At 37.8% G+C, this 11,931-nt stretch overlaps 1 protein-coding gene across 1 annotated transcript; it reads right to left on the bottom strand.

The window, feature by feature from the left end:
* Positions 1–697: 697 nt before the first annotated feature.
* Positions 698–11,383, bottom strand: OR51L1 (olfactory receptor family 51 subfamily L member 1). The gene is made up of 3 exons (NM_001004755.2): positions 10,899–11,383; positions 8,651–8,752; positions 698–7,410 (listed from the first exon to the last, which is right to left on the bottom strand). Exon 3 carries the CDS (start codon positions 7,249–7,251, stop codon positions 6,304–6,306), a length of 948 nt encoding a protein of 315 aa, NP_001004755.1. The 5' UTR covers positions 7,252–7,410; positions 8,651–8,752; positions 10,899–11,383; the 3' UTR covers positions 698–6,303.
* Between the last annotated feature and the right edge of the window lie 548 nt (positions 11,384–11,931).

Here is an 11,931-nt window from a genome sequence, read left to right as displayed (position 1 = left end):
TCCTGGTACAAATTTACTGTATTAGTTCATTTTCATTCTGCTATAAAGAACTGCCTGAGACTGGTTAAGTTATAAAGGAAAGAGGTTTAATTGGCTCACAATTCGGCATGGCTGGGGAGGCCTCAGCAAACTTACAATCATGTCAGAAGGGGAAGGGCAAGGAAGGCACCTTCTTCACAAGGTAGCAGGAAGGAGAAGTGCCAAGCAAAGGGTAAGGAGCTTCTTATAAAACTATCACATCTTGTGAGAACTCACTCACTATCACAAGAACTGCATGGGGGAAACAGCACCCATGATTCAATTACCTCCACCTGGTCTCTCCCTTGACATGTGATGATTATGGGGATAATGGGAATTACAATTCAAGTTGAGATTTGAGTGGGAACAAAAAACCTAACCATATCAAATACCAACATAGTTAAGGGCATTTGAACAAGTAACCCTCATACTGTTGGGCTCACACTACCTTATAACAAAACCTACCATAAAATCATAATTAACAACAGTCATGGATTAGCAGAATGATAGAAAATTATGTCCAATGGAACAGAAGAGAAATATGAGAAATAGACCCAAATATATACATTTTCACCATATGACAATGGAAGCACTGTGGTACAGGGGATGAATAATGCTTTATTCAATAGATGATTGAAAACCAAAATGAGTCACTGAGGCATAAGTCTCAATCACTGAAGTTTATTAAGCCAGGTTTAGGGCACTTCTGGGAAAAACAAAAGCCACCGACACATCTGTGGCTATTTCCACAAAGGTTTTCAGGACATTGTGTATTTATCCATTTCCTTAAAAGGGGGAAGGGGGAGGCATGTAGGTTGGGCAGTAGGGGAAATAGTTACATTCCTGAGACTTCAGTTAGTGTTCAGTAAATCTACATTTTACGTAAGATAAGGTGAATGTCTGAAGCGAGAAAGGGAGTAAAGGAAGACTCAATCATGTAGTCGTCTCTGGGTAGGTGAAGAAAATGAATCTTGACTTTTCTGCACCTGGGAAGATAAACTTGTAAGTGACATAATCGGTGTGGAGTTTTAGGAGCTAGACCTGGATTGTGGACCTAAATTTACAACTAGCGTGTCCTTGTTTATGGGAGGCAAGCAAAGAATTTACTTATGAATGATCTGTGGGTAGCCCTTCCCAGATGCCTGAGGCCATTTACCTTTCCAGTCTGGCTGATATATAATGTTAGTAACAGTTATTCATGTGGAAGAGAGTGTTGCAATGATTCAGCTTCAGGACTTAGTCTTTACTTCTGCACAAGTTTGGGGGGTCCTTCAATTTTTATTTTCTTTTACATAGTTCTGACTGAACTATGTATTCATATCAAAAAATATGCCTTGACCTTACCTCATCATTCATAAAAATAAATTCTACATGTGTTGTATTTAGAAATATCAAAAGGAAAGCCTTACAACTTTCAAAAATTACACAGAAGGACATCATTGATAATATCAGCAAATGTGTCAGTTATTTATTTATTGTCCCAGTTTCAAATATAGACTTCATTGCTTACTCTGCAACAATGGAACTGGGCTCAATGGACATTTTTTCCTTCACAGATTCATGATGTTAAACTTGGCCAGCAGAGGGTGCCGCAGGGACACTTGTAAGAGAAGTTCGTGTGTACTTCTCTTTGATTATTCTCTCTCTTCTACCAGAGGCGTGTAATGAGAAATATTTAGTAATACTCATCCTATCAAATTTCAACAATACCCATATGGCTAGACTCTTACTGAGTCTTGCAGTTACTCTAGGGACTGGCTTCCCAAATAACCTATTTGGACCCTGGAGGGGTGTTTCCAGCTTGTCAGTCCAAACTGTGATTTGCTGCCCACCTGTACTTCAAAGGGGGGTTATCATTTGCTTGCCAATGCCAACTATAGTTCCCTGCCTACAAGCCTCAGCTCACCTGGTGCTTCCTACTACTCAGTCCTGAAAAGGAATCTTAGTCTCTCAGCCTTGGTTCACCTATACCCCACAGAAGTGTCTTTCTAAACACATGCAATGTAATGACCTTTTCTGGCATCCAGGATGCTAAGACTATGCATTCTCAAATGAAGTTTCAACCTCGGGCTTGGGGAGTACCTTCCCCATTTTCCAAGTTTGTTTTTTCTTTCAATATTCTCTCTTAGCTCTAGGGTATTACTCAGCGTTGTCTTTACCTTCTTTAAAGTTGATTTCCTTATGAAATTAATAAGTATTTGTATTTATAAACTCTATTCAAATTACTGTGTGATTTTTGTCTTCTTACTGGATCCTGAATGACAGAATAGGCAAATATCTCCTTAAAAATACACAAAAGCACTAAACATAAAAGCAAATTTATAAGTTGGACTTAATTAAAATTAAGAACATTTCTAGTCATCAGACATACTATTAAGAAAGTACATAGATTGTAGAAGATGGTTGTATACATACATCTCACAATGTCAACTTGAATTATAGGTTATTTTTAGTTCTCCAGGCTTACACACTGTGTTTGATCTTCCGCTTGAAACTTAAGAGATTTAAAAACCATGGATATTTGCTCTTGAATTCTCATCCTGTTTCATCTGCCTGAAAAAAAGGAATCCTTGAGAATTTTATTTTATCTTTCTATGTTACAGGTAGTTAGGCATGAGTGGGGCAGGAAAGGGCTCTAGCTTACCCACTAGTAATGTTAGGCAATGGTTGGGCAATTATCACATTGCCTCTCTAAAAGTGATAAATTGGCAGCCTGCGCCAGGGAGAGGCCATTTCCTGATGGTCCACACCTGTTGCACTAAACTGCTAATAGAATGCAGATGCCAAAAGGAAGTAACTTTCTAGACATGTGCATTAAGAGACAAAATGAAGGAGTATGACCTTCTGAGGGCACACCACCGAGAAAGGGAAGAAAGCCTCAGATGGGCACGTGTACAACTTCCTAAACACACTGTGCATGCTCACTTCCTAAGGGTAAGGAGGGCACTGTGCATGTGGGTAGCCCACTCTAAGGGAAGGATCACGGGAAAGGCGCCAGACTATAAGGTCCTAGGATTAAGGTTAAACACAGCACTTGTCCTTCAATTTACCCTTGGGTCTCTTCCAAGCGTACTTTCCTTTTTTCCTCTTCTAAAGCATTTTTAAATAAACTTCCACTCCTGCTCGAAACTTGCCTTGATCTCTTTCTCTGCCTTATGCCCCTCAGTCAATTTCTTTCTTCTGAGGAGGCAAAAATTGAGGTTGCTGCAGACCCGTATGGATTTGCCACTGGTAACTTGAATACCTTCCACCAGTAATATATTTGATGTCATGAGACTTGGATATTAGCCACCCCTAACACCTTTACGTCACAGGTTTTCTGAGAACTTCTCATTTCAGGGTTCTCTGGGAAGCAGACTTTGAGGTAAAATTTAGTGTGCAGTTTGTTTAATAAGAGAATCCCTGGGATAATCATCTTAAATGAAAAGGAATGAAAGTGGGTAGGATTGGGCAGAGGGAAAAGTTGACCTGTGAATCAGGCCTGAAGATAGCCTTGTCCAACATCACGGGGAGTCCTGGATATAAAATTGCCCAGTGAAATTCACTGGGCTGAAGGGGCCAGACCTTTCCAACTTTCTACATTAGTCATTGAATGTGTCAGTGGATGACCCCAGGCAAGGCTCATTTCTCCAGCTGAGGCAATTCCTGAAAAGGTAAAAAAAAAAAAATTGAAGGCTTTCTACTGGACTTACTGCCAGCAGCTGGGGCTACAAGTCTTTCATTGAAATGGGGCTGAAACTACATATCTTTGTCCATCATAGCCCATGTCAGAGCCCTTTTTTTGTGGGAGGAAATGCAAAATGCTTTGGGTAAGTTTTAAGTTAGACTGAAGAACGTTGCTAACACATACTCTTTCTAACCTCTTTGCTTTCTTCATGTTACCTCCTCTTTCTAGAATACCTTTCCCAGTGATGTGTTGGTAAGTGTTTAACCACCTCCTCTCTAAGAAAAAATTTCAAGTCCTGATATATAATGTTTACCAATTTCTGTGGTTTAAATACTTCCATCATAACCAATTTCATTAACCTATATGACATTACAGAGCACAAAAGCAGAACAAGATATGCACAATTGTCTCTTATGTGCCAGCTTTGGTACGCCACTTTATTTCCAACTGTGTTCAACTGGTCAAGAATGAATTTGACTCACAATGCACAGTGAAAGTGTCAACTACTCTGATTACTGATTCTTAAATCCTCAAGTGAAATTGACCACTTATTAATATATCAATATTATAAAAGGTACCTGTTCCAATAATACCATTGATTACACTTAATTTTACTAACCTTTTATCTATGTATCTTCACTATTAAACATTCATTATTTAACATTAACGTTATGCATTTTGCTGTTTATATATCCACAGTACTAACAGCAATAACTATAATAGTTATTTCAATTATTTAATGAGTACTCATGATTGTTGGGGAAGACCAGCTGTATAGTGCTGTGATAAGGTAATAGACATGGCCCCATATTCAAAAAGTGTGCTATACAGCTGAAAAGAAAGTGAATTTATATGAAATAATAAAATATCACCCATAAAAACATATCTGTAGTTCATTCTAGTGAAAAAGAAAAAAGTAATGGGTTATCAAAAATAAATTGATTAAAAACACAATACTACAGATCCACACAGGCATGTAGAACAAGAGGTAAAAGTATTATTAAAAGATGAGGGTTGAGATTGTGCACAACTCTTAACCCATTCACAAATTAAGACACAAAATCCTGTCCTATAGTATTGAACAGAGTCAACACAATTGCCCAGATGGTTAGACATGTACTGTCAGGCTTTCTTCAACAATTCCTGTAACTGAGTACCCCATTTTCTTTAAAATATATATGTATATTTTACAATTTTTCCCCTTTTCCGTCACCTCTTATTTTGCTCTTTAGTAATGCAATTACGACCTTTACATTCCTTTCTTTCCACTGGCCAAACCACCTGCAAGCACGACTTCCTTATATTACTCTACGTTTTCTTAGAAGTTCCATAGGCCAGCTGGTCTAGGGAGCTCACGCCTGTAATCCCAGCACTTTGGGAGGCCAAAGTGGGCAGATCACCTGAGGTCAGGAGTTCGAGTCCAGCCTGCCCAACATGGTGAAACCCCGCATCTACTAAAAATACAAAAATTAGCTGGGGATGGTGGCGCAGACCTGTCATCCCAGCTATTCGGGAGGCTGGGGCAGGAGAATTGCTTGAACCTAGGAGGCGAAGGTTGCAGTGAGCAGAGATCACGCCATTGCACTTCCACCTGGGTGACAGAGCAAGACTCAGTCTCAAAAGAAAAAGAAAGAAAAAGAAGTTCCATAGACCAAGTCTTAAAACAAACCAAGCACCCTACCAAATTCTCCCCCACTGGCCAGACTACTGGATGACCCACCAGATGACCCAAGATAAACATCCGTGAGCAAGCCTTATAGACCCCACAAGTCTATGTGCCTTCTGCATGGCCTGCATACCAAAATTTCTCTTATTAAAACCCTGCTTTCTGCCCAGAATGCTGAAGTGTCTCCTTTCAGTACAAATCTGGCCCTTTCTCATCACTAAGCTCTGGAATAGTAACATTCTTCTTACCACCTTCATTCTTGTTATATGATTTTGCAAGTGGCATCAACTGAAACTATATTTGGTAACACTCCCATGTATCTAACTCAGTATTTGCTGGCAAATTGAGGAAGCTGATAGATCTAGAATAGCAATGAGAGAAAGGACACATCACTAAGTGATGAGATTAGAACTTGTACATAGCAAATGGCCACAGCAGCAGGTCAAAATCCTGTCAGGAACTCAAGTTCCAAACTTGCCCTAAGGACTCAAATTTTTCATAAACAGTTATGACATTGTAGCATGAACAACAAAATACGTGCAGCAGTACTAGTAAAAGAGATAGAGATTGATTTCTGAGTTTTAGATAATTAACATGAGAAACAATATAAACACAGCTACATTTAAGAAGGAAAATACTGTTATCATTAACAACAATGACAACTTAATAACATTAATAATTTTGTATAGTTTTCAAAAAACTTGACTTAGCACATACATTTTCTATTATAAGTCTTGTAATGACCTGGGGACAACGTAAGGCCATAGTTGTCACAATTTGTCCAAAAAAATCCTGAGTTTCATATTGGTTAAAGATTAACTGAAATTACATGTATAAGAAGTGAAAGAATTAGGATTTTAACCAGATGAGCAACACCCAGATATTTTACTTTTCATATACTAAAACAGCTTCCATGAGATTTTCAGTGGAAAAGTTGGAGGACAGAGGTTACTTAAAACCTCCTCCTTAGGACAAACTTGTGGAGAATTCCTAGACGAATCTGCTTTGTTCTGACACTATAGACAATAGGGTTAAGGACTGGGGGAAGAAGAAGGTAGATGTCTGCCATGAGGATGTGGACTATGGGAGACAGATGCTTCCCAAAGCGATGGACCATTGACACCCCAATAACTGGCACAAAGAAGATAAGCACCACACAGATATGGGATACACATGTGTTGAGTGCCTTTAGCTGCTCTTCACGAGATGCAATATCCAGCACAGTATTAAGAATCAGAACATAAGAAAGAAGTATGAAGATTGAATCCACACCTAGTGTGGCAATGACTACACAAAGCCCATAAATACTGTTGGTCCTGGCATCTGTACAGGATAATCTTAGAACATCCTGGTGCAAACAGAAGGCGTGAGAGAGGGCATTGCCATGGCAGTAGTGATAGTGTCTCAGTAGCAAAGGTGTGGGAAGTACAACTCCCAAGCTTCGTAGCAAACAGGCCAAACCAATTTTGCCAATTACACTGTTGGTGAGGATGGTGGGGTAGTGCAGTGGATGGCAGATAGCAACAAAACGGTCAAAGGCCATGGCCAGCAACACTGAGGACTCCAGGAATGTGAATGTGTGGATGAAGAACAGCTGAGCATAGCAAGCACTTGCCTGGATCTCTGGAGCATCCAACCATAACACAGCAAGCATGGTGGGAAGTGTAGACAGGGACATCCCCAGGTCATTCACTGCTAAGATGGAAATAAAGTAATACATGGGCTGATGGAGAGAGGATTCTATCCAAATGACAGACAGGATGGTAACATTACCCATAAATGCTACCAAATATGCAAGACAGAAGAGGATGGAGAGCCAAGAATGAACATACTCCAGTCCAGGAAAACCCCTCAGGATAAATATGGGCTCCACAGCATCACTGTTATTCCAGTCTCCCATAGTGACTTTGAGTAATTCAGCAAGTAGTGAGGAATGGTTCGTGTTTTCCTTCCTGATCCCTCAAAGTTATCTCTTTTGAGTACAAATAATGGAATGAGGACAAAAATACATCTTTCGTCTAACCTCACAGAGGAAGGAAGCTGGTATCTCTTGTCGGCCCTATGTAAAAAACATTTCCCAATATTAAGGAGCACAAATTCTGGAACAAAAATGTGGACTACACAAATATGGTCATCTCTGGCAAGAAATACGTTGGATTTGCATCAAAGACACTAAAGAATTTAAGCAACGTGAGAATAGAGAAAAAAGAACTTTTACTAATTATTATAAAGATGAAAATAGAGAAAAGTCAGAGTGAATGTCGATGGATTTGTATGAGTTTCTGGCCAATGTTCTTGAGTTAATCAGTTATTGCTTCTAGGCTATCTTTTCATTCATGACAATCGAATTGATCCCATGGACTCAACATAATTTCTATTCAGCTGCATTTTTATTTAAAGATTTATAATATTTAAACATTTTAAATATTTAATATTTTAATAATACAAGATAAATACCCCTATATGAAAAGAGAGCATGAACATAAGAAACAGAATCCATAATACCAGAATCCATAATCCCAGCATGCTTTATTGAGCTGCTATTTAACCAACACAGTTTTGAGCTGTTTAGTATAGCAACTATTCCTGACCTAAAAAAAAATTCACGGTAAAAAAACTATATATATAGTGTGTGAGTGTATATGCGTGTGTGTGTGTGTGTGTGTGTGTGTGTGTGTGTGTGTGTGTTTGTGAAATAAGAGTTTAAATAGTTTGAAAATAAATCTTTAGGCCATAACATCACAATATAACTACGAAAGTCCATTAAAGACATTTCCCTTTCTGCTCTTCCACAAAATGAGAACAATGCATTTAACAGTTATCTATTACATGTTTTCAGTAAAAGAGGTACTTTTCCACTTTATTTCTATTGATTTTTTTGATTGATTGATTTCTGTTTCCAAACGATGCTTTTAATATCATTTTTAAAAGATCATCAATCAAAATATTAAGTGGTTCTTAATTTTCTGACCCACTTGCACCTACTTCTGTGAACTCATGACAATCCAGAATTTAGGCCTTAAATATTCACTATCAGTGCCTCTTAGAAACAACCAAGCTCTTCTGAGTGTTTCAAAATATGATATTAACATCTGGCTTTACTTTCCCTCAGCAATTGTTATTGTAATAGCCTCCTTGCCTGTGCTGAACCAGTGTTGCCCTTGCTGTATCATACTGTGTTGATGGCACTTGGTACAGCAGCTGAGCATTATGAGATTATCTGCCCCTTCTGTTACCTAGGTCTTTATTTTAACCCTGTCTAGTTCCATTAACTGCCCCTGAGAAAATTATTTACTTACCTTGTCCCTTAGAGTCTGGGCCTCATAGACTTCAGCAACATCTCTCTGTAGCAACATCTCAGTAATTCCCTCAACCCTCCTTCTGGACCCTTAGTCTCTGACCTTTTGAAAGATTAAGATAAGACTTAGCCTCATCCTAGAGTAAAAATATTTCCAAATGTGGTCTCAAACTCGTATCACAAGGCTCCAGCTAGCTAGCTGTTTCTTTTTATTATCTCCATTATATTTAATAAAAAGCTTTATTTTAAAAATCCCTTGACTGATTCTTATCTCACTTTCATACCGTGAAGACTGAAAGTTCTTAGATGGCACAACTTAGAATTCCAAAGAGGACTTGATTTAGAATCTGTATCTGAGGAACAAAAGAAAGCACAAAGCCCTCTTCTCCATGTAATGAGAAGGATTTGTCTCTTTTTCTACTTTTACCCAAGTACAGGAATCCTCCATCTTCTATGAGTCAGAACCTAACCTGGTACTCTTCTCTAGCCTAGGCAATGTGAATGAAGCTTTCATTTGAGACCCTCGTCTTAAATAAAGCAGTCAGCTACCCATCAAATTCTTCACACCCAGCAGAGTATGTGTTTAGAGCATTTATTTTTCTTCACCCCTAAGCAACATTTTTCTCTCCAGTCTTCCATATCACTAGCTGACTTTATTTTTTCTTTCTCCTCACTCAGAAAAATTTTTTGACCTCCTGTTGTACAGTTGAGCTCATAAAAATGATATAGGTATTAACATCGAAATAAAAAGAACACACACACACACAGAGTGAGAGAGAGGGAGGAGAGAAAGAAAGAAACAGAGAGAGAGAAATGAAAGAAAGAAAGAAAGAAAGAAAGAAAGAAAGAAAGAAAGAAAGAAAAGAAAAGAAAGGAAGGAAGGAAAAGAAAGAAAAAGAAAGAAAGAGAAAAAAAGAAAAAGAAAAGAAAACTGTGGCCACAGTGGAGAAGTAGTTTATTTTACCCCATGCCAGAAAAATATTCCATGTTTTCTCCTTTAATTCTTTCAGTCCTGAAATAAATCATATTTTCTTAAATTCTCACATAGAATGCAAAGAACAAAGTGGATCACTACTCTTTAGAATTCTCTTTCTCCCTGCTTTATGTGCAAGTCCCCTATGTGCAGATTGCGATGTTTAGAAAACTTCAGTTGTAGACTGGCCAATAGATTTGAGGTTAGGACAGGCAGGAATATTTCTGTTTGTAATCCCTATTAATTTTTAACTGTGTATATTTAAGGTATACAGAATGATGTTTATATATATATATGCATATACATAGACATATACATAGTGAAATGGTCATTACTATGTGCCTGTGTGTGTGTGTGTGCATGCACACACGTGCATGTGTATGCTAAGAACACCTAAGCTCTACTCTCTTGGCAAATTTTCGGTATACAATTTCTGTGGTTTTAATTCTTGCTCATATTGGTTTATCCCTCACTTAAAAAGAGTCCCCATTTCTACAATATTATTAACTCACTGCTTTATCTCATTGATTTATCCCTCACCTGAAAAGAGTTCCCATTCTACAATATTATGAACTGTGGTCATGCTGTATATTAGATCTCTAGACTTATTCTTCCTACATAACTGCAAGTTTGTATGCTTTGAGCTACTTTTCCGCATTTCCTCCACTACCCGGGCCCCCTAAGCCCCTTTCCCGTTTCTATTTCTGTGTGTACTTTCCCTTTCTTATCCTCTCACTGCCATATCTGTCATGTCTTTCACTTTTTAAAATCCATTTATTGTCTTTTCTCTATTCATTTTCTTTTGACTCTATTTCTGGGTCACTGACAATGATTCTTTGTGGTTCTTTGTTGATTTTAGTACAACTTAATCACACTGAGGTCGAAAGAGAAATAATAGAAAAGAACTGGGAGTAATAACAAGACTGTTTCAAAGGGCAGAGGCATGAATAGGCTTATGTCACACATTCACCTATTCCAGGTAATTAAGGGAGAACTACTGAACATAAGACCATTTTTTTACAGCCTCTCTAGTATCAAAACCTATTCTCTGCTAATCAGCTTATCGCTTATCTTAAAATCGCTGAAAATAATTGGAACAAGACATTACAATACTGTAATAAATTTAATTTTTTTCACAGATGAGAATAATTCTTTTTCCTTTTGCATAAATGGTACATCATCTTTCTCATAATTTTACTCTCTTTAGCAAACTATATCCACATACAAAATGTGCTAAAATCTACCAACTATTTATAATTTAAAAATTCACACTTACCTGAAATTTAAATATAAGGCAATTGAATCAATATGCCTAGTTAATTTGCAATCAGTAGCCCATTTCTCAAATGATCCACAGTTCCATTTTGTCTTTCTCTGACTAAACTTTTCTTCACTATAGTTAAAGTCATATTTTCTTTCTGTTCCTATGTCTGTGGCTTTTTCTCTCTTTATCTCATTTTATGTGTCAAATTATCTTTACTATCTTTTCTAGCCTCCTTCCTGCTGCCATTTTTTTATATTTTGTTTTTATCTAAGTTTGTGTCTTTTCAGCATGTAATCCTCTATTTTTTCCGGTCCCTTTGATTGGCTGTTTCTTTCTTCTAATTTCTCTTTGTGTGTCTGTGGTTTAAGTTGCTGCTCTTACGGGCTTATCTCTCACCTGAGAAAACTTCCCATCTCTACCTGAAAATCAAACCTGTACTGATTAAAGATGCTACAATTTTAAGTCTCTATGAACCTCAGGTTTTGAAAACCTTCGACTCTGTGAGTGGTGAGGCTTGAAGGCTTCCACCATCTCTATAAATACTCCTGGTGTCTCCTGGCAAAGAAAATTAGGGATTGGTGTCAGAGTCTGTTGGATCCCCAGAGATGAAATGGCCATAAAAAGCCCTTAACCACAGGTATGGCAAGAGCATATGATCATAATACTGAAAATAGTAGAAATGCATCCCTGTTTTCATCCACCATTCTTAGTTCTCTAATAGTTTTCTCAAATGAGTGTAAGAAAGTAAATTTATGATAACTACTGTGATCCAGAAGAATACTGAAATTTCGGCTTTAACTAGGGGCATTGTACAGAACAATGATGAGAAAGTGCAATGATAAGTCTTTCCATTATAAGATGTTTACCACATTTCACTAAACAGAGTTATTTATTAGTCATGTGCTTCATAAGCATTTATTAAGCAACAGGGTTCAAGAAGGCACACTAAGCACTTTAAAGGCAAACGCTACTATCCAGTTCATTGCTGCTTCCTCAGTGCTTGGTAAGAAGCATCATCTCCCAACACATTTTTTTTCTTTGCATA

Source organism: Homo sapiens, chromosome 11 (genome assembly GCF_000001405.40).
Source record: "Homo sapiens chromosome 11, GRCh38.p14 Primary Assembly".
NCBI lineage: Eukaryota > Metazoa > Chordata > Mammalia > Primates > Hominidae > Homo > Homo sapiens.
Note: the sequence above shows the minus strand (reverse complement) of the source record. Positions and strands in the feature narration are given on the sequence as shown.

Excerpts from the sequence above, each read along its gene's own strand:
- OR51L1 (NM_001004755.2), bottom strand. The coding sequence starts at position 7,251 with ATGGGAGACTGGAATAACAGTGATGCTGTGGAGCCCATATTTATCCTG.